The sequence below is a fragment of the Homo sapiens genome, chromosome 5, assembly GCF_000001405.40.
Source record: "Homo sapiens chromosome 5, GRCh38.p14 Primary Assembly".
NCBI classification, from domain to species: domain Eukaryota; kingdom Metazoa; phylum Chordata; class Mammalia; order Primates; family Hominidae; genus Homo; species Homo sapiens.
This window is the reverse complement of record NC_000005.10, coordinates 65,654,946-65,678,581: the sequence shown is the minus strand read 5'-3', so window position 1 is coordinate 65,678,581 and position 23,636 is coordinate 65,654,946. Positions and strand designations below refer to the sequence as shown.

General features: G+C 36.5%; 2 protein-coding genes across 9 annotated transcripts in view; one reads left to right on the top strand and one right to left on the bottom strand.

Annotated features, from left to right (window-relative positions):
* The window catches only part of SGTB (small glutamine rich tetratricopeptide repeat co-chaperone beta), a 57,086-nt gene extending 44,432 nt beyond the window's left edge, over window positions 1-12,654 (top strand). For all 3 annotated transcript variants that reach the window (XM_005248548.4, NM_019072.3, XM_047417334.1), the window contains 3 exons: window positions 6,301-6,338; window positions 6,584-6,667; window positions 8,225-12,654. In XM_005248548.4, coding sequence (XP_005248605.1) covers window positions 6,301-6,338; window positions 6,584-6,667; window positions 8,225-8,336 — 234 coding nt within the window. In that variant the 3' untranslated portion in view covers window positions 8,337-12,654. The remainder of the gene's footprint in view (window positions 1-6,300; window positions 6,339-6,583; window positions 6,668-8,224) is intronic.
* The window catches only part of TRAPPC13 (trafficking protein particle complex subunit 13), a 41,207-nt gene continuing 29,919 nt past the window's right edge, over window positions 12,349-23,636 (bottom strand). For 2 of the 6 annotated variants that reach the window (NM_001243737.2, NM_001365342.1), the window contains 5 exons: window positions 20,081-20,214; window positions 17,685-17,883; window positions 16,432-16,532; window positions 14,198-14,348; window positions 12,349-14,078 (listed from right to left, as the gene is read on the bottom strand). In NM_001243737.2, coding sequence (NP_001230666.1) covers window positions 13,971-14,078; window positions 14,198-14,348; window positions 16,432-16,532; window positions 17,685-17,883; window positions 20,081-20,214 — 693 coding nt within the window. In that variant the 3' untranslated portion in view covers window positions 12,349-13,970. Of the gene's footprint in view, window positions 14,079-14,197; window positions 14,349-16,431; window positions 16,533-17,684; window positions 17,884-20,080; window positions 20,215-22,928; window positions 22,947-23,636 lie in introns of all 6 variants that reach the window. The other 4 variants (NM_001093756.2, NM_001365343.1, NM_001093755.2 and 1 more) reach the window with 3 other exon arrangements.

The window sequence follows — 23,636 nt, the reverse complement described above, 5'->3', positions numbered from 1 at the left end:
GTAGCATGATGCCTCAGCTTTGTTCTTTTTGTTTAGGATTGCCTTGGATGTTTGGGCTCTTTTTTGGTTCCATATGAATTTTAAAATAGTTTTTTCTAATTCTGTGAAGAATGTCAATGGTAGTTTAATGGGAATAGCATTGAATCTATAAATTGCTTTAGGCAATATGGCCATTTTCACGATTTTGATTCTTCTATCCATGAGCATGGAGTGTTTTTCCACTTGTTTCTGTTCTCTCTTATTTCCTTGAGCAGTGGTTTGTAGTTCTCCTTGAAGAGTTCCTTCACTTTGCCTGTTAGCTGTATTTCTAGATATTTTATTCTTTTTATGGCAATTGTGAATGCGAGTTCATTTGTGATTTGACTTTCGACTTGCCTGTTGTTGGTATGTAGGAATGCTAGCAATTTTTGCACATTGATTTTGTATCCTGAGACTGTGCTGAAGTTGCTTATCAGCTTAATAAACTTCTCGACTGAGACAATAGGGTTTTCTAGATATAGGATCCTGTCATCTGCATATAGGGATAATTTGACTTCCTCTCTTCCTATTTGAATATGCTTTATTTCTTTATTGTGCTTCATTTCCCTGGCCAAAACTTCCAATACTATTAATTTGTTGAATAGGAGTGATGAGAGAGGGTATTTTGTCTTGTGCTGGTTTTCAAGGGGAACACTTCCAGCTTTTGCCCATTCAGTATGATATTGGCTGTAGGTTTGTCATATATGGCTTTTATTATTTTGAGGTATGTTCCTTCAATATCTAGTTTATTAAGAGTTTCTTATATGAAAGGATGTTGAATTTTCTTGAAGGCCTCTTCAGCATCTATTGAGATAATCATGGGGTTTTTGTCTTTAGTTCTGTTTATGAGATGAATCACATTTATTGATTTGCATATGTAGAAACAGCCTTGCATCTTGGGGATGAAGCCTCCGTGATTGTGATGGGTAAGCTTTTTGATGTGCTGCTTGGATTCAGTTTGCCAGTATTTTGCTGAGGATTTTTGTATCAATGTTCATCAAGGATATTGGCCTGAAGTTTTCTTTTTTGTTATTGTATCTCTGCCAGGTTTTGGTATCAGGATGATGTTGGCCTCATAGAATGAATTAGGGAGGAGATCCTCCTTTTCAATTTTTTAGAATAGTTTCTGTAGGAACGGTACCAGCTCTTCTTTGTACCTCTGGTAGAATTCAGCTGTGAATTCGTCTGGTCCTGGGCTTTTTTTTTTTTTTTTGGTTGGTAGGCTATTTATTAGTGCCTCAATTTCAGAACTCATTATTGGTTTATTCAGGGATTCAATTTCTTCCTGGTTCAGTCTTGGGAGGATGTATGTGTCCAGGAATTTATCAAGTTCTTCTAGAAATTCATTAGTAAAATTTCTAGTTTATGCGCATAGGACTGTTTATACTATTCTTTGATGGTTGTTTGTATTTCTGTGGGGTCAGTGGTAATATCATTTTTGATTGTGTTTGTTTGAATCTTCTCTCTTTTTTCTTCATTAGTATAGCTAGCGGTCTATTTTATTAATTTTATCAAAAAACTAGCTCCTGTATTCATTTTTTTTTTTTTTGAAGGGTTTTCTGTGTCTCTATCTCCTTCAGTTCAGCTCTGATCTTGGTTATTTCTTGTCTTCTGCTAGCTTCGGGGTTTGTTTGCTCTTGTTTCTCTAGTTCTTTTATTTGTGATATTAGGTTGTCAACTGGAGATCTTTCTAGCTTTTTGATTTGGGCATTTAGTGCTATAAATTTCTTTCTTAACAAGAATGAAATTTTAGCTGTGTCTGAGATTCTGGTATGTTGTATCTTTGTTCTCATTCAAAGAAGTTCATTCTTCTCATTCAAGAAGTTCTGCCTTAATTTTATTATTTACCCAAAAGTCATTCAGGAGCAGGTTGTTCAATTTCCATGTAGTTGTGTGGTTTTGAGTGAATTGAGTGCCATGTGGTGATGAGAAGAACGTATATTCTGTTGTTTTTGGGTGGAGAGTTCTGTAGATATCAGGTCCACTTGATCCAGAGCTGAGGTCAGGTTTGAATATCTTTGTTAGTTTTCTGTCTTGATGATCTGTCTACTATTGTCAGCAGAGTGTTAAAGTCTCCCACTATTATTGTGTGGGAGTCTAGTCTCTTTGAAGCTCTCGAAGTACTTGCTTTATGAATCTGGGTGTTCCTGTATTGGGTGCATATATATTTAAGGTAGTTAGCTCTTCTTGTTGAATTGAACCCTTTACCATTATGTAATGCCCTTCTTTGTCTTTTTTTTTTCTCTTGAGACAGAGTCTTGCTCTGTCACCCAGGCTGGAGTACAGTGGCGCAATTTCAGCTCACTGCAACCTCTGCTTCCTTCTTTGTCTTTTTTGATCTTCTTTGGTTTAGAGTCTGTTTTGTCAGAAACTAGGATTGCGACCACTGCTTTTTTCTGTTTTCCATTTGCTTGGTAAATTTTCCTTCATCCCTGTATTTTGAGCCTATGTGTGTCTTTGTATGTATAGTGGGTCTCTTGAATACAGCTCACTGATGGGTCTTGTTTTTTTATCTGGTTTGCCATTCTGTGTCTTTTAATTGGGGCATTTAGCCCATTTACATTTAAGGTTAGTATTGTTATGTGTAAATTTGATCCTGTCATCATGATGCTAGCTGGTTATTTTGCAAACTTATGTGGTTGCTTCACAGTGTCACTGGTCTGTATACTTCAGTGTGTTTTTGTAGTGGCTGGTAACAATTTTTCCTTTCCATATTTAGTGCTTCCTTCAGGAACTCTTGTAAGGCAGGTCTGGTAGTAATGAATTCCCTCGGCATTTGCTTGTCTGAAAAGGATCTTATTTCTCCTTTGCTTATGAAGCTTAGTTTGACCAGATATGAAATTCTGGGTTGGAAATTCTTTTAAGGATGTTGAATATGGGCCCCCAATCTCTTCTGGCTTATAGGGTTTCTGCTGAGAGATCTGCTGTTAGTCTGATGGGCTTCCCTTTGTAGGTGGCCTGGCCTTTCTCTCTGGCTGAATGGCAGGGTTCTTAACGTGTCCATGTACCTCCTGTGGGAAAGCCATGGATGGACTTTAGGAAGCTCATGGATTTTTCCAAAATTATATATAAAAATCTGTGTACATGTGTATGTGTGCATTTTTCCAGGGAGAGCATCATATTTTTCATGAGATTGGCACAGGAATCTGCCAATATATGAAAGGTTAAAAACTACTCTCTTACATAAAAGTGGTCCTAGGAAGATATCTAACATCTGCAGTTTGAGTATTTGGCCATTGTGGTTCCCTAGCTTGCCCCTCAGCATTGTCTGCCTTGTTTTCTATCTTTAGAGTTTATTTGATATAGATAGATAGATATAGATATAGATATCTCATGTGTTTGTCTTCTATTCTTACAAAACAACAAAATAATGTATGGGCCTTTTTGAGAACATACACGCTCTGGTCCAATATGTGGTAACTTTGATTTAGTGGGTTTAGGATGTTACCAGGGCATATCAAGCTCCTGGGGTGACTGTATACTTTGGATGAGAATTATTCTATCCATGATATGCCCTTGGAAGGCAGGAATCAGTTTTTATTCATCTTTTGTTTCCTTCAAAAAATGTGTCTTGCATCCATTAAATCTTCTGTTGAACTGAAATGCACAGATGACTCATTCCCAGTGAGATAAGTCTTTTTAGCAACTGGTAGTTTTTATTTTTCCCTTATCAAATTTCAGCCTTCTTACCATGCTAGCAAATACATGTTTTGTAGATCTTGTGACTTCATTTTTTTTTTTAAGAATGGTTACCCATTCTAGGACTCAGGTTATGGCATTGTAACAAGATGTGAAAAATGGAATTCTTTTAGTTTCAGATTTGGCTTAGGCTCCAAGCTGCTATGTACCAAAATAAGGTGTGAGACCACCATGTAGGAGTTGCAAAAGATGGGGATAAAAAACATGTTTTGTGACTCATAAAAAAGGCCAGGTTGATGGAAATTAAAACATGATTTTTGGAGAGAGCTATTAGAGTTTTAGGGCTCCCTATATGAAGGAATTAGGGAGGCTTGCTCTCATCTCAAGCCCTCACTGAGAAAGGGCTTTTCTGGTACAGAGACTTTCTACCTGATAGTTCAACTGGATAGCCAGTGGCAGAATTAGCTGTGTGGTTTGGGCAGTTACTGTACTGATGAGAGTGGAGCAGAGGTGTTTCCTGTGGACCAAGGTGAGCACACACAATTGTGAGAGAGTGTGTCTGAATATGTTCAAGAGGCTTTCCTGGAAGTGTGACAGGATCCCAACACAGAGAATCTCTGGAGGACTGCCAAGAACCTAAGACTGAAGGGAAAGTCATAGCATCCATCCAGAGGGTAAATTACCCTTTTCAAAGAATAGGTAAGAAATCTCCAGGGCCTAGGGAAAGGAGAAGTGTCTGAAGAACATGAGAAAGTACCCCATAAGAGAACCACAGTAGTTTTTGAATACCTTGCAAACTCAAAAAGCACCAATGCAAAACTAGTAAGATAATACCAGTCATCAAATAAGAACTTTGCTGCTCCTTTCACCTTTCCCTCCATTTAACCCTCAACCTGGAGGGCCACAACTCTTAATCAGCAAGCTGAGGGAAGAGGACTGGAAGTACTACAGGATAAAGAAGCACTATAGGCCTTGGTGTGCTGGCTCACACCTGTAATCCCAGCACTTTGGGAGGCTAAGATGGGCGGAGCACTTGAGGTCAGGAGTTCCAGACCAGCCTGGCCAACCTGGCGAAACCCCGTCTCTACTAAAAATACAAAAATTAGCTGGGCATGGTGGTGCATGCCTGTAATCCCAGCTACTTGGGTGGCTGAGGCAGGAGAATCACTTGACTCCGGGAGGCAGAGGTTGCAGTGAGCTGAGGTCATGCCATTGCACTCCAGCCTGGGTGACAGAGTGAAACTTCATCTCAAAAAAAAAAAATAGCCCTATAGGACAGCGGTCCCCAACCTTTTTGTAACAGGGACTGGTTTCATGGAAGACAGTTTTTCCATGGACCATACCGGGTGTAGGGGGTAGGGGCAGGATGGGGAGAGGAGCGTTAGATTCTCTTGAGGAGCACTCAACCTAGGTCCTTCACATGCGCAGTTCACAATAGGGTTCTTGCTCCTATGAGAATCTAATGCTGCAGCTGATCTGACAGGAGGTGGAGCTCAGGCAGTAATGCTTGCTCGCCCACCGCTTACCTGCTGCTGTGCAGCCTGGTTCCTAACAGTCTGTGGCCCAGGGGTTGGGGACCGCTACTATAGGAAACAAAGCAGTCAATGGTGCCTCTTTTCTACTACAACCGGTCAGTCTGTAGCAGGCCCATGCTAGGAAGGGAGAAGTTTTACCTGTAAATGAAGCTTTATGTATTTGATTGTTACACTGAGACATTAATTGCTGAACTGGAGGTCATTTTATAGAACTTAAAGTGACAGGAGGATTGCTTACTGAAAAGTGACTGGAAAAGCATAGATCTGTTCTAAATTTCCTCTAGGTCCTAGATTGTGGGAGAAGGGGAAGAACTACTGCTGCAGAACTAGTTTAAAGGGATTGCAAAACACAGCATTTCATGTTTATAGCTCATACATCCTGCTTTTCCTGTGTAATGCCTTTAGCACTTATGGGTTGGCTCAGAGGCACCAATCCTGACTGGGACTTGAGGAAAGTTTTGAATTACTTACGAATCAGTCAGTGATCTTTCTGGTAATATAAGCAAGTGGTGGCTTTTCCCAACACCTCATAGAGAGTCTGTGAATATAATCTATTGTCTACAAAGATTTAGACTAAATTCAAATTTTACATAAATATTGTCGACATTACCAATTTGAGGGAAAAAATGTGATGCTTTCAAAATAGAATGTTTTAAAAGTATGTGTGCACATAAATATAATTCCTTGTGCCACTGTAAGCATGGGAAGGATTGAAATTGCTGGGCCCCATGGAGCAAAGTCACATCTCTTAAAAGCTCGTTTGGAATGGACCTTCTCAAGTGTAGGAGATCCCTTAACCATACTTTTAAAGTTCCTATTTTTCCTTTTGGCTTAATTGGTCTGATAGCAGTAGTAAGTAAACTGCTGTCAACATCCTCAGTTTATAGTGTTGTTTGTAATCTCTTTATCCTCACCATGTCTTCTTAATGCCACTTTTTCTAGTACCTTCTCTCTTTTTACATTCCCCTTTACTTTGCATAGCACACTGAAACTCTACAAAATGTTAGTGCATACATGATTTAGCTTTCATTCTTCTAAAAAAAAAATCTTTGCTAAGATCCCTACATATTAACTGCCTTTAATGGGAGGTGCTGTTTTTCAATTCCAGGCGGCAAGTTTAATGCAGAACCCTCAAGTTCAACAGCTGTAAGTATATAGAAAGAGCTTATTACACTTCCCCAACCCTTCCACTTGCCAGGCTCCTAATTTGAGCACATCAGCTCAAAAATGATGAAACTGTTCTGAATGACAGTCAGTTGGAGCTTAAAGCCACACACATTTGGCCTAGCCTCTGGTATAACATGGGTATTTTATTAACTTTTCCTCGTCCAGTTGTCCTATTTGTTAAGAATATATACCAATCCCAGTGATGTATTTCTTGTGTACTCTAGAATGTCAGGAATGATGACAAATGCCATTGGGGGACCTGCTGCTGGAGTTGGGGGCCTAACTGACCTGTCAAGCCTCATCCAAGCGTAAGTATTATTTAAAACAGAAATAGTGAAGATGTATTTTATGTTTTACAGCCTATCTCTATGGTGAGGGGTCAGGGCTTTCTTTTTAAATGTTTATCTTTTACCGTTAGTAACTTTAGCCTCCTTAATGTTACTAAATCTGAAAGAAGTTCATGAATTACAACCACTTTTTAGACTGCAGGGCAGGAATCCATACCTAGATAGTCTGGCCAGCCCTGTCTGTTGAGAAAAAGAACCATGTTTATTATGCTTCCCCCCACCCCCACCCCCGCCCCCGGTTCATTATGCTTTATTTTTTGGGACTTTCAAGTACCAGCAGAATCTTTTTCTTCTTTTCTTTTTTGGCACCATCTCAATAAGGCAGGTGAGGGACAGATATTAGAAAAGTAGATAATTTATATCCCTACCCAATGGCTAGAGAAACTGAGGTACAGGTTAGTGACTTACTAAGGAACCCATAGCACATTCAGTCTTTTCATTTGCAGCCTAATTTTACTTGATTGTGTTGTCAGCATGAAATTAGGGTCCTTGGTTTTTAAGTGGGGGTATCAATACTGTATCTCTGCTTACAGAGGGTCCCAAGGATTGGTGACCTGGTACTTTGAGGGTATGGAGACAAACAGTAAAAATCATATGTCCAAATAAATTGTGATCTCATATATATATAAAGCTATTAATCCCCCATTTTTTCCCAATGAAGATCCAGGAAGTTTTTCAGCAGACTTCAAACTACTCAGGGACACAGATGAAGGTCAAATATCCTCTTAAAATATATATCAATTTAGGTACACATACATAGTTTAAAATCACTTGTTACATACTTTAATGTTCAGGCAATTCAGGAAATTTTTATTCAAACTTTTTCAGTGCCTGTCAACACTTAGAGGAACTACTTGCATCTTCTCATTACTTGAGCACATTGCCTTCACTTATATCAAATTGGCGAAGACAACTTTGCTTTTTGAATCTGTGTCTGATGCTCTCGCTGGACATTTTATATGAAGCCACAGTACCACTTGTTGTTTGTCAGCACAACTGTGTATCCACTTAGAATATTGCATTTTTAGAATGACCTTTAAATGGCATATAATGACATCTAACACTGGCAATAGAGGGTCACATACTACAATTTGTGTTAAACTTCTTAGTGTTTTTAAAATTACTTGTTAGGTGACCTCCAAAAGCATCCCAAACTGGGTGTTATATGAGACTATTAAGACTTGGGTATAAAAGCATTGTATTTGAGCACATACAATAAAAACATATACGTCTTACCCTTTGCTTCTTTGTCATTAGCACTAGAGAAGTAGATTTCACCCAGTTGAGGTACTTATTTTTTTTAGCATGGGTGTTTTGTTTCTTATAAAGAACACTGCATTGTAATAATGCTATATGGAGGCATTGGTAAACTTGTAGATTCTAAAGTCATGGCTCTGAAACTTGTTTTTATAGAAAAAAGCCCCCTTTAGGTAGCTCCTACATTTTCTGCATTTCTTTTTGCGTGGGTAAATGTGACTGGCAATTCCCTATTCAAACCACATTGCCTCTTTACTACAGGGGACAGCAGTTTGCTCAGCAGATACAGCAACAAAATCCTGAACTTATAGAGCAACTGAGAAATCACATCCGGAGCAGATCATTCAGCAGCAGCGCTGAAGAGCATTCCTGATTTAACCAGGGGCTCAAGCCCAAGATACAAATGGTTTATGGCTATGAATGAAGTATTTGTTGTAGATAGTACCCCCTCCCTCCTTCAAAAAACCAAACACCATATCTGATGTGTGAAAATAATGGAGGAAAACCTCTTGTGTATATTCTTAAAGAATAAATCTGTTTAGACAATAGGTTTATCACAAACAAACTCAAAACATAACATGACTCCTTTTGAAATGATCACTAGCCATGTTACGTGCCAATATAGCACTGGGATAAGGTTCCATTTTCAAACTTCTATCATATTTGTATATTAGACTTAATAGCAAAGCATATTTATTGAACTCTAGTAGGGCTATTTGTTGGTAAGCTCTTTAGCTCCAATTTCCCTTAAGCAAAGTTTTTTGAGAAGGGAAATGACCCAAAGGAAAGGTTTCCTATGCTGGTTGAGAAGAAGTGTACTTGCCACTGAGCAGTATGTCAGGAAAGAAGGAATATTATCTAGGTTTAGCTTTGATAAGTGCTATTAGTAATGAATATATAACATGGGAACCAATGTTATCTTTAATGTTGCTTGTTCTGGTGAACAGAGAATCTTAAGAGCTGTTAGAAAGTAGCACTTGATGCAAGGGATGTTTTGAAAAGAAAAAATTGGTAATGCGAATGTATAGAAAGTAAAGGTAGGATGCTCAGGTTTTCTGCATAGTTCTTAACTAATCTTGTCTGCAGTTTGGTATTGATAATATTAGCATGGCCACTTATGCTAAATACACAATAAGATACATTTAGAAATCCTTAATGTACTGGTTAGGTCAGTGGTACAACTGTTTGACTTAATTATCACAATTTCCCCAATGGTAACCTTACCTTGGAAACTATCAAATATAAATATACTTTAACTAAGCCAGTGACCTGGTCCTAAGTTAAGGATTTTCTAAATGGTATTTAATTGTGTGCCCATAAACACTGATTTTTTTTAAAAAGAAAACTTAGTAATTATTTGATGGATAACAAAAAGCATCTATCACTAACATTGCTTGTTCATGTAATCTTCTGTGATAATTTGGCTTGGCATGCCAGTCTTATAATTAACATAATTTAAATTTGATGCAATTTAAATATAACAGGAGACTTAAAATATTTTATTATAAATTAGATGCCATATTAGTTAGTGGAGAAAAGGGGCATTAGGTATTAATTGCATGGGTCTAACTACATTGATGATGAGAGTTTAATTCCAACTAGAGTATATTTTTTGTTTATTAATAATGAAATTGGTGCTGACATGTAATGACTTCACAAGTTTTACGAGGGAAAACTGAAAAAGGAAGTAATATAAATTTTGTGGGGTTTTTTTGAGATGGAGTCTTACTCTTTTGCCAGGCTAGAGTGGTGTTGCAATGTCAGCTCACTGCAACCTCCACCTCCTGGATTCAAGTGATTCTCGAGCCTTAAGCTCCCAAGTAGCTGGGATTACGGGCGCCCACCACCACGCCCAGCTAATTTTTTTTTTTTTTTTCTTGAGATGGAGTCTCTCTCTGTCGCCAGGCTGGAGTGCAGTGGCGCAATCGCGGCTCACTGCAACCTCTGCCTCCCGGGTTCAAGTGATTCTCCTGCCTCAGCCTCCTGAGTAGCTGGGATTACAGGCACGTGTCACCATGCCCAGCTAATTTTTGTATTTTTAGTAGAGACGGGGTTTCACCATGTTTGCCAGGATTGTCTCAATCTCTTGACCTCGTGATCCGCCTGCCTTGGCCTCCCAAATGCTGGGATTACAGGCGTGAGCCACCGTGCCTGGCCGCTAATTTTTGTTTTTAATGGAGAGAGTTCCACCGTATCGGCCAGGCTGGTCTCGAACTCCTGACCTCAAGTGATCTGCCCATCTTGGCCCCTCAAAGTGCTGGGATTAGAGGTGTGAGCCACTGTGCCTGGCCAGGAAGTAATATACAATTAAATGAGTAATAATGCAGATGATTAGGCCTTATAGAACCCTTATCAAAAGACTAATTGGCCGGGCGCTGTGGCTCATGCCTGTAATCCCAGCACTTTGGGAGGCCAAGGCAGGGGGGATCACCTGAGGTCAGGAGTTTGAGACCAGCCTGGCCAACATGGTGAAACCCACCTCTACTGAAAATACAAAAATTAGCCTGGCTTGGTGGCGGGCACCCGTAGTCCCAGCTACTTGGGAGGCTGAAGCATGAGAATTGCTCGAACCTGAGAGGCAGAGGTTGCAGTGAGCCAAGATTGCGCCACTGCACTCCAGCCTGGGTGACAGAGCAAGACTCCATTTCAAAAAAAAAAAAAAAAAGAAAAAGAGACTAAGAGACTAATTATTTTGTATCTTGAAGTTTAAAATCCAACTTTTCTCTTTCTCCTTTGTGACATTAGAACAGTAGTTCTATAACTTCATTGTAAGAATCACCTGGATAATTCATTAAAGATGCAGATTCAGGGCCACGTGTTCAATTCTGATACAGTAGGTCCTGTAATAAGGCCTAGGAATGGCCATTTTTAAACAGTACACTAGGTGGTTTTGATACAGATCCAAGGACTCTAATTTAGAGGAACACTAGGTTAGAGGTTTCTCAGACCTGCAAACACCTAAGCACCTGGGCCAAACAAAGCTACAACGAAGATCTGTATGAAGATATATAGTTCTGCAGAATTTAAAAAGAGCACAATTTAAGTCTTCGGCCCTCAGAAGTTAAATTCATATTCCATCTAAGCCAACTTTGATTTTCATTAAGTTAGAATGAACTCCTAGTATTCCAGTATTACACAGAACGAAGTACTACTACTAACACATAGAAGTCATTACTGTGATATAAAAAGCAAAATAGATCCTTAATTAAAAATTAGTCACTCATATTCAGTGTTGAATAAGAAGTTAAAGTTTCTAGCATAACTATCTTGAGTGCATTAAAAATGCTTTTAGAGCAATAAGATAAGCTTCTAGCTGACTGCCTAGAAAAACAGAAGATACAAATTCAGTGTCAGAAATGAAAGGGAATACACTACAGACACTATAGTTATTAAAAGGCTAACTAGAAAACACCATGACCAACTCAAGGATTGTATATTTAACAACTTAGATGAAACAGATTCCCTATAGGATACAAACTAGAAAGCTCACTGTAGAAACAGATAACCTAAACAGAACCATATTTATTAAGGAAATTGAGTTTGTGGTTAAGTTAAAAACCTTCCAGTAAAGAAAACTACAGGCCCAGATAACTTCCGTGATGAATTTTACCAAACACTTAAGGGAGAAATAATATCAATTCTAAACAATCTCTTCCAGGAAACAGAAGAGGAGGAAATACTTCCCAACTCATTTTATTTGACCAGTATTACCCAGACAAAGATACTATAAGAAAAAAAACTTTAAAACAATGTCTTCATGTGCTAACATCTGTAGTTAAATTAGCCATTCTTTTTACATGAAATAATGGGAATTGGTATATTTCTTCCATTTCATTTTTCTATTTCTTTGCTAATATACCACCTGTAACAAATTCAATCTAGATGCTATCTGTCCACTTGCCTACATTTCCATTCTATTCAAGCCATTTTTGCTCTTCAAGTACCTTGATCACTTTGGAATCATAGCATTGCAAGCTATTTCAAAAAAAGTTGCGTGGTTGGATTGTGCTAGCTACTTTTAAATTTATAAAAAATGCCCCATATATTTTCTTGCTTGTCTGGGAAATATAGTTGCTATCTAACTAGAAAAATAAGAGGGCATTATTAAAGTAACTCTTTAAGCATCGTACTAAATGTTTGACTTCCATTAACCATATTTCTTGTAGTAGCTGTAGCTATTATGATACTGTGTAAAACAGAACAGGTTCTATATATGCAAATGACATTTTCATTTAATGTACCAAATTGTGTATCTAACTTTTATAATATAGGTTAAACAGATCCTTTCTAAGATGGCATTATTTAATCTTTACTTAAAACTATGAAAAATATGTGTAAGTTATTGTTTATAAACAGAAGAGACTATAATTAAAATATAGAGCAGATTCCAAGTGACCATCATTTTACTTTTTAGATTTAAAACAGAATGAAACAGAAGATTTAGTCATAAGAAGATGCTTGAAAAACAATCCAAGTATCCAATGCAGTGGCTATAAAATATTATTTCATCATTTAATCTTAATCATTTTGAAACAAAGACAGACTTCAATTTTACACTGCTTGCACTTTATTTTGTACAGACATTTCATTAATTATTACTCAATTTTGAGGTGCAAACCTTCTGAATATAGCTTTCATTTTGGACCAAACAATTTGTTATGGCAATAAATAATGATGCATTGAAAAACCAATTTTTGTATTTGATTTAATGCACTCTTACATTTAAGAAATTATATATACATTCTTGAATTTCAACTTACCAAAATAGAATAGCTTTTATTTAACAGCCTAAGCTTTTGTTTTCCTGACAAATACTGAAACTTTTTGTTACATTAATGCTGCAAAGTTGTTTATCACCTCAACTTTCTCACTGCTTTGCTCATAACTAAGTGTGATTACATGGAGAGAGAAAGTTTTGTAACAGTAACACATGATTTAGAGTTTAAAATCATATCAGAAGATGGGAATTATTTAAATATACCTTATAAAAATAAGTGGCTTAATCAATGAGAAAAAAACCCAGGGGTTTTTGGCTTATAATTAGAAAATAAGTATTATTCTTAGTTAATAGTTAATTAAAAAAAATCAACAACCTAAAAAGTAAAACCAATTCTGATGTGTTCAGTAGCTGAAAGATATGTATGTTTGTAGGTATAATATACAAATACAGACACAAACCATTACAGTAATTTTGAAAACAACTAGAAAGCTTATACTGTGTTGACAAATATCAGGTTATAAGAGGACTACCCCCTTTGTTTTAAGCAAACTTTTTCTGCTGACCGAATAGCTAGGAAAAAACTGGAGTTAACTGAAATATTTCTAACCAAAATATTACAAAGTTCTAAGAAACAACTCTATCTTCTAGATTGAGGTCAGCCAACTATACCCTGCAGGCCAAATCTGCCCAGCTGCCTCTTTTTTTTTGAGACAGAGTCTCACTCTGTCGCTCAGGCTAGAGTGCAGTAGCATGATCTCGGCTTAACTGCAACCTCTGCCTCCCCGGTTCAAGTGATTCTCCTGCCTCAGCTTCCCGAGTCCAACTGCTTCTTTTTGTGTACACCACTGTACTTTTTTTGCCTACTGGCTGCTCTTGAAGTACGATGGCAGAGTTCAGTATTTGTGACAGAAACCTTACGGCCTGCAAAGCCTAAAATATTTAGTATCTTGTACCTTACATAAAAAGTGTGCTGACTCGTGTTCTAGATAACTTGCTAGGGACAAATGGTCTCAGATACACAGCTTTTGGAGAACAAAGTCCAATGGTCATCTAAAATGAAATGAAATTAAATAATAGGTGTAGAAAATATACACATGTTCATTTCAAATATAAATTACAAGATAAAATCAGATCTCTTCAAAACAAATATTTAATATTTTAACCATTTTACAGGAAAGAAAATTTAAGTAACATATTTACTTCGTTGTTGACGTCATCATTTTACAAAGGTAACAAAAAGAGCAGTTCTGTGAAACTAAATGAAAAGCCTAACATTGGAAGTTTCCTTCAGCTTTCCACTTTAATGGCAGAAGATACCACACAGACTTGTGCGATGTCATCATATTCATATGTTCTCTTTAAGAATGTGTCTGTTAGTCTTAAGCCAGAGATGCTCTATTGAGAGAGAGAGAGATGAGTCTAAGTTTTCATTCATTCAGAGGAAATACAGACATCACAAATGACTTGTAAGTTAACAGCACCCAAATATTGGAATTTTTGAAAAGACAGCATACTTGCAGTCCCTGTACTGAAGAAAGCAGAGTAAGGGCAAGACAGAGCGAAGAACTTGGATGCAGCTTTCCCAGCTGTCTTCCTGAAATTCCACACCAGTGGATGGAATTGGTATTGCACATTTCCAAAACCAGATCCATAGTCCTTTCACTGCTGGAGGAATCAGAATAATAGGAATAAATCTTGTTCATTTCACAAAGAGGTACTGCAATATTTCTACTAGTGACAGTAAACTTGTTTTCTCCATATCCAGGAGAATAAAAACCAGAAAGAGAAAAGCTATTATAACATTTTTTATGTCACTTAAGATAGAACCAGGAAGATGAAAGGAAGTCACACCTTCTAGCACTTAAAATAGCCTCAGACTAATCTGCCTGTCTGGATGTTGGCCTTCTGGTTCTATTACTCAACACTGGCCTCCTGGTGCTGATCTGGTGCTACCATTTTTCTGGGAGACTTCCACACATTTGTGTCTAATCTTGTTGCCATATATTCTCACTATTTCTGTTAGGTACTCTACAGGAAAAGAAGAAAACAACTGATTCTGGTCTAGTCCTTTTGATACCTAATCTATGTTACTTTACCATAACTTGGGAAACAACTGGCAGGATTCATAAGACATAAATACTATTCAGGTTTGCTAACTGGATTATTTACCAAGAAAAGACTACTTCTGCTTATAATAGATATCACCAGTTCAGCTTAAATAAGTTAAAAAAACTTTTAATGAAAGTATGCACATTGTTCTTCTTTAAATAACCAAAAGGCTCATAATGAAAAATAGTCTCCTACCACCATTCACGGCTACTTATGGCTTTTAGCTGTTTATTCTTATACTTGGCTCCAAATTTTAAATTGCTTATTTAAATTTTATTTTTTTTAGACATATTGACTTTATAATATTAACTTGTATATGCCTGAATCTCCCTAACAAGCATTTGAGATGGCTACTATGTGCCAGAGACCAAGGTGGATGCACTACATGAATATTGTTAATTTCACAAAAATCCAGTAAGACTTATATATGTTGTGTGCATGTGTCTGTGCATGTCCCTGGTGTGTAGGGGCAGGGAATGACATTTATATAGAGAGGAAACTAAAGATCTAAGAGACATGTGCTTTTTAGAAAACTTGTATGAATCACCAAAAGTTAAAGTGAACACCAAGAGAAGTTAACTTTTGAAAAAAATAACACTTGTGAGCTGGTCAATAAACTGATTTGCTGAAAAAACTTAAAAAAAAAACCAAAAATTCCCCAACACCCTGTAACACCCTATAAGCACAGGGTCTTTGCCCTGTATTGTTGTTTACTGAGCTCACGATGTGGCAGACACTGAGTAAGGCCATGTCCCTTCTCCTGAATAATTCCAGTCCAGTGAGAAAGAGACTAATACTTACAGTAATATATGAGTGTCACTAAATACACAATATATGAGTGTCACTAAAAAACTAAGTTAAAATTTTCTATGATGGAGAAGGCATGAATACCTGTGCTTTGGAAAGTCTAGGTAGCTTCATAGAGGAAGTGGGTATTTCTGTAATTTTGAAGGATAAATATTTCCTATCTTTCTAATACCAAAAAGAATAAATATGGAATTAAAAGGATTATACATTCACACTAAGAGGACTAGGATTCATCACTGCAATATTATAAAAATACCCCAAATAATAATACAAACCAAGTGGTAATACAAGTAGGAGCAGAGGGCATAGGACTGGAACTTAATTCTATTTTTTTCTGGTTTCAAAGCCCTGTGCTCTTTGCTTCCTGACAGTTCAGATTATGCTCTCTCTTTACTGTCAAAACCCAGTTTTCGAATCAATGATCTCCCCTTACATTAAATCCATAAGCAATGTTTGGTTTCTTAATACTCAAGATACAGCTCAAGTACAAGCATGCCTCAAAAAATCTTGCTACTTCAATTCATAATATATTAATACATAAGAACCTATTAGTTCATGTTTTGGTGAAGGAAGTATAAACAATGAATACCTACCTCATAGGGTGTGACAAATGAATGAAATAAAATACAGAAGATGCATAATACAATAGGCCCTTAAAAATATGTAATTATACTGCTACCAGATGAAGAATTTTACAGTACTCAATATCAACATCAGAGAAGGCTGTATGTCAAGAGGAAAACTTAAAAGGAGATAGTAACAAAAAGATTTTAAAATTATCTTCTAGGCAGGTGAGGTAGAAAGGACATCCATCTACAAACAGTGGCATTACCTGCAGTTTGTTATTTTACAGGTAATATGAAAAGGTTCTTCAAGGTTTACGGTATCTGGTATTGCCTCCAAAGACAACCTAACATCTCCATAACCTGGAGCCTAAGAAAACAAGCAACACAGTTAATGTATATCTATCACAAAACCTTTCCATTTTAATGAAGGCACCACAGCAGCACATTTACTCAACAGCTGTTGGGTTTCCAAGCTGATGTTCTAAGAAAATACTTCTGATTCACTTTACTTGTCTCTCATTTTAAATTCTTTTGCAGCTACTGCCTGTGGAATAGCCTGGCAGACCTGGACTGTTTTTGTTATATAATTATTCCATGTTCAGTAGAGTTAAGATGAATCTCACAGGTAAGTAGTCAGTAAAGAAATTTCAGGGAGTTGAAGGGACACTTTCCAGATGCTGTAGCTTCTATGTGTGTAACTCTAAATAGGTAAAGTTATTTTCTAAAGAAAGAGGGGGATGATGTTGAAAGGAGCCAGGAAGAAAATCATGACTTTTTACAAGACGCACAGATGAGGATGGATTATAACAACACGAAGGCTTGGAACAGGCCATGGCAGAAAAATAACTAACGGCTATATTTAAGTGGGCCCAGGAATCATCATCATCATTTTTTAAAAATTATTGCCTCAAACAGTGGAAAGAAAAGTAAAATTTGGAATATGTCAAAACAGGTAATATTCAGCATAAAGGGAGGAGAATCCTGTCGTATATTCTTACAAGCATAAGAAAAAGAAGCCTGGTAGCTATCCCTACTCTCAGAGAAGAAATTAGGTAAAATATGCAACCAATGCTTATAAGATAACTTTAGTAGAACTCACCTTCTGAGGAGATGCCTCAGATTTTTAACATCTTAAAAATGGTAGGAACTGAGTAGGTGAATGAAGTAAGTCCAAGAGTTTCAGGACATTGCAAAATAGAAAACCTTAATGTGTTTGGAAATCAGAAGAAGAGTGAGCATGTGTTACCAAAGGAGAGACACTTAATAACAGTTATTTTAATTTCTGTGTGATAAAGAACACGTGTATTAAGGATAAATTAACATTTGACCATTTTTCATTCATGGCAACACCAGTCTTCGACCTACCTATCAGTGACACTATTAATCTTTTCTGCTCCAGTAGTAGTAATGCCTTTTATAGTGCTCCAATTTTTTACTGCTGGATGTAGAAAAAATTAAGTTGTTCTAACTACCTGTCTTTCACACACCAAAACCCCAGCGAAGTTTTTTCCAGACTCACCATTCTTTGAAGTTGGCTGGTCTGTAACCTTCCCCTTTCACCTAGATTTGTTTTCCATACTATATCCAATTTTCCAATTACTGTTACTCCCTTAATGATGCCTGCTTTTTCTGCAAATTCATTCTTTGGCTTTAGGCAGTATAAGTACTGGCGTGTATCCATTGGTTGCAAATATGCTCTTGACCCAAACGTAGACACACTGAGAGGGGTGGAGACAGAGACGGAGAAAATTCTCTAGCATCTTTTAAAAGAAAAACCATGGCTGTGATTGTTCCTTTGGATAGGAACTGGATGATGTACCCTCCAAAGATCAACAACAGAACATGTTAACGATTTCAATACAAATAAAAAGAACGTATACTGCAATGATTTATTTTTCCTTCATTTTTTTCAGTTGATATCGAAAATCTTGAGGTTCTTTATAGTAATTGGACCCCGAAAGGCAGGGGTCCCTTTTTTTTTTTTTAAATAATTTTAAGAGACAGGGTCTTGCTCTGTCACCCAGGCTGGAGTACAGTGGTATGATCATAGCTCACTGTAACTTCTAACTTCTGGGTTCAAGGAGGTTCTTTATAATAGAATGTAATATATTACTTATAAAATTGAACATGTATCAATTAACTGAAAAGTGCAACAGAAACCAGAACCTTAAGTATCCTGTCTCTTTTCTCTAAAATTATCAAAGATAAGAGTTTAGAATAATAAGAGACATACCATTCTAAACTAATTTTCAAAATGAACTAAAACATCTAGAAAAGAATGGAAAATTGTTTTCCTCAGTGAGGATGAAAGAGGCTATGAACTTTTCTGTGTGTAACCAACCTAAGAATATAAAAGCAAACTTTTCATTCCTAATTAAGAAATTCAGATGCTATCCCAAGCTATTACCTTCTTCTTCTTCTTCTTCTTTTTTTTTTTTTTTTTTTTTTTGTTTAAAATACAAGGTCTCTCTCTGTCACCAGGCTGGAGTACAGTGGTGCAATCATGGCTCACTGCAGCCTTGAACTTGTGGACTCAAGCGATTTTCCTGCCTCTCTCCCAAGGAGCTAGGAATGCAGGAGTGTACCACCATGCCCAGCTAAATAAAAAAAATGCCAAGTTGCCCAGGTTGGTCTAGAACTCATAGCTTCAAGCAATCCTCTGGCCTCAGCCTTCCAAAGGGTTAGGATTACAGGCATGAGCCACCACACCCAGCCTATTACTTTCTTATCTGTATTATTGTCAACTTTACATTTATTCTTCCTCTTTTAAATTAGCTGTGGAAAGGTGTATGTATTTCCTTTTCACAAAGTATTAAACCATCTATTCCTATGTCCTTTTCTTTTGATGTTGAGAGAGTATTTCTTTTTTTAAACCCACATTCACCCTTACTCTTTTTAACTTCTCTACCATTCCTTCACATTCCTCCATTTTATTATTTGCAGGATAGCAATGATAGGATTCATATTTACCTCACTGGATTTTTATGAGACTTAAAAGACCAAATGCTTTGAATAGTAAAACATGAAATTAAAAGGGCTAGGATCTTTATTTTTATGTAATGGAGGGATGAAGATGGAGCACAGGAGAGTTTTTGGAAAGTGAAACTATTTTGCATAATATAGTAATGGTGGATACATGTTATATATTTGTCAAAACCTACAGTGCTTGACTATAGTCCCAGATACTTGGGAGATCGTTTGAGTCCAGAAATTTGACTTCAGCCTGGGCAACATTAATGAGACCTGTCTCTTAAAACAAAACAAACCAAAAACCAAAAACAATAAAACATACAACAAAAAGTGTGAATTCTAATGTAAATTATAGACATTAGTTAGTAATCAGTGTCAATATCATTTCATCAATTGTAGTAAATGTACCACATTAAAACAAGATGTAGGCCAGGCACAGTGGCTCACGCCTGTAAGGACAGCACTTTGGGAGGATAAGGTGGGCAGATCGCTTGAGGTCAGGAGCTGAAGACCAGCCTGGCCAATATGGTGAAACCCCATCTCTACTAAAAATAAAAAAATTAACCAAGCGTGGTGGCATGCACCTGTAATCCCAGCAGCTTGGGAGGCTGATGCACCAAAATTGCTTGAACCTGGGAGGTGGAGGTTACAGTGAGCCTAGATCAAGATCATGCCACTGCATAGAGCTGGACTCTTTCAAAAAATAAATAAATAAATAAATAAATAAAAATAAAAATAAAATAAAAAACAAGACGTAAATAACAAGAGAAACTGTGAGGAGTGGAAGAGGGTATGTGGAAACTCTACTTTCTGATGAATTTTTCTATGAACCTCAAATTCTTTAAAAAAAGTCTATTAAAAAAAAACCCACTGAAGAGCAATGGATGTTTAGAAAAACATGTATCTTTCAAAACAAGGATAAAGACTTCATAAATTAATATTTACCATTCTCCAGCTTGGCTGACTGAATTTAATTCTGTTACATTGTACATAATAGATGGCTCCAGTGAAACCTTCTCCATAAACATAGGTGAGGTTGTCATATTCTGAATCTGGGCTTCCAGAAATACTTCATCAGTCTGAGGATATGAAAAAAATATCCACCAAGGTGTGGTGGCATTTAAAATATTTATCTCAACAAAAATATCTTATCTATATGAAGAAAAAATATTAACCACAAATGTGATTAGTTCATGCCTGCAAATCAAAGTTACCACAATTAATGCAAGAAAAGAAATCTTCACCCTATCATAATTAACAGGGGCAAAGTCAAGTGTTAGTCAACTGATACCTTGTCAAACAATGGATGGAGGATAACTATATTTTGTCTTAACATCCCAAAATACTTAACTGGAATTTCATTTACAAATACTCTTTCTTTTCATTAGGTATTAAAATATTAAAATGTGCTTTAGTATGATGAATATACCTATGCTCCTATAATTTCAGTATTACGTTAAGATAATTAAGTCTTCATTATAATATGGCAGTATAACTTTGATTGTCATATTAATGCCAATTTAGATAGTGTAGTGACCACTAATACTATGAATAATCTATTTTGTAATCTTGAAGGATTTAACTTTTTAAATTAAAGCAATTTGCGAGTGGTCATTAGTGATTTCTTAGTTCATTTTAAATGTATATTGAGGGCTAAAAAAAGAATATGTGGATTATACTTCACCATCGTAGAGCTTTTAAATCAGGCAAAAGGTATTTTGTAGCCTCAGTGACAGATTTTAAAGCTGATGCTATTTAGCAATATTTGCCAGTAGGTAATTTTAATAATTAGATAAATTAGATAATTAGATAAATTTAGATAAATTAATTCCCCTAATTATGCTAAACATTATTTTATGCTATTTGGTTATTATTTTCCTTCATGTAATTGAAGGATAACAGACTAACTTGATTTATCTTTGAAACAAACCTACATGAAAAATGATACACTAAGGGTATTCAATAATTTTTTTCAAAAGTTTCATAGTAATATGTTTACTACACATAAATAACATAAAATCAACTATGACCAGAAAAATTTGCCACTTAAGAGCTTTTTATTTTTTTGAGACAGTCTCATTCTGTCACCCAGGCTGGAGTGTGGTGGGGTGATCTTGGTACACTGCAACCTCCGCCTCCCGGGTTCAAGGGATTCTCCTGCCTCAGCCTCCCGAGTAGCTGGGATTATAGGCGCGCAATATCATACTGAGCTAATTTTTGTATTTTTAGTAGAGACAGGGTTTCACCATGTTGGCCAGGCTGGTCTAGAACTCCTGACCTCAAGTGATCCACCCACCTCGGCCTCCCAAAGTGCTGGGATTAGAGGTGTGAGCCACTGTGCCTGGCCTATGAGCTTCCCCCAACCCCCACAAGATGGAGTCTTGCTCTGTTGCCCAGAGTAGAATGCAGTGGCAAGATCTCCTCTCACTGCAACCTCCACCTCCCAGGTTCAAGCGATTCTCCTGCCTCAGCCTCCCTAGTAGCTGGGACTACAGGCAGTGCCACCATGCCCAGCTAAATTTTTGTATTTTTATTTATTTTGAGACGAAGTTTCACTCTGTCACCCAGGCAGGAGTGCAGTGGTGCGATCTCAGCTCACTGCAACCTCTGCCTCCTGAGTTCAAGTGATTCTCCTGCCTCAGCCTCTCAAGTAACTGGGATTACGGGCAAGTGCCACCATGCCTGGCTAATTTTTGTATTTTTTATAGAGATGAGGTTTCACCATGTTGGCCAGGCTGGTCTCAAACTCCTGACCTCGTGATCCGCTCGCCTCGGCCTCCCAAAGTGCTGAGATTACAGGCATGAGCCACCGCGCCTGGCTGAGCTTTTTAAACACTAACACCAAGAAAATGAAAATCATTTGCAAAAATATAATGATTAAGTTATAATATAATGTACTATTATCTAAAATAAAACAGATTCTTTAGTTTTTGGGACATGTGTTCAAATGAAAATAGAAATAAAATGATTTATCAGTTTAAAAAAATGCATCATTTAATGGCATTTTTTGGTTACTGGTTCTAAAAAAAAGTACATATATCCCATCAATCCATTGCTTTTAAAAAAATAACCACAGACCCACATTTCAATTTAAAAACTGCAATTTTCTGCATAAATTTAGGAAGAGCTTAGATAAAACGAAAGAAAAACAAGCAGCATAATGGAAAATCAAGTTAGTTTGAACAGTTAGTGTAAAGCAATTTGATATTTTAAAAATTAAGAATTCAGTGCTAAGGCAGTTGATGTTATTACATATGTAATGTGATATAAGCAAATGCTGCTTATTGTAAATATAACTTTGAAAACAAAATTTTAGCCAAGTTGGGAAAATTTGCTTTTCTTCTGTTTCATTTTGTCAAGCGGCCATCATCACCTGACCCAGACTTAAAACTAAAACCACTGTGCATCTGAAAATGAATTTCGATTATACAGTCTACTCAAAGAACTGAAGGCTAGGATAATCGGGTATTTTACAGTAAGATGATGAAAATCACAAGGCCATTTGACACAAGGTAACATACCTCTTTAAAAAAAAAATCTAAAGAAGAAACACTGAAAATGAGAATTGTTTCAGTATGACAATTTAACTTTTGAGCTAATTTTGCCCCACGGAATAGAAAATTGATATAATTAAAAAGTACATAAAATTATATATAATCTTTCTGAAGTCACATAGGTGGTATTCACAACTAACTGTTTTTCCACTATGTTTTGTAAAGAGAGATTAATTAGGCAGAGTCAAAAAGTGGTGAGTAAGAAAAGTATAAAAATTTATAATAAAAAATCAAATTACCACAGAACTGAGGTCACTCTAATGGAAAAATAAAAAAGAATAATTAGAAAAATCAGAGTTAAATGTTAAAGAAAAAAGAATTACTTTAAAATAAAATGCATTTCTGCATTTTTTTAAATTACTAAACAAGACAGCATTAGTAAATAAGAAAGTAAACAGGAAGCAACATAAAGAAATATGACAAACCATTTTTCTAAAAAGGTGAAACTGCTAAGGTTAAATGACAATGGAATAGAGAAGAACCCTATGGCTGAATACTCAACAGTAGCAAACTGTTAAGGGCACATTTTGGAGCAGAGAGGTATACCCCATGACTTTCTAGTTCTATAATTCTTTACCAACATTGCAATTCTTCATAGATAATTTAGGATGAATATATACTATCCTCCACATTCAGAATAGATATACACCGTATACCTTCTCTTAAATTTATGTAATAATGGAATCATCTTTCTAAGGAATATCTTGGGCAATTAGAGTTCCGTTGATCACTTCAGGGAATGTGGGGCTGAACCACTTGAAAAAATTGAGAATTCTCTTCTTCTTAGTAGATTTCATAGTTAGCCTTTTTAAAACTTATATATTTCTTCAATGTTTTATTAAGAGCAATCTCAAATGTCACCTCCATCAAATGCATAGCTGGAAATCATTTTTCACCTCTCTAGGTACCCAGGATGTGTTACTTCACGATTTGGGTTATATGTGTGG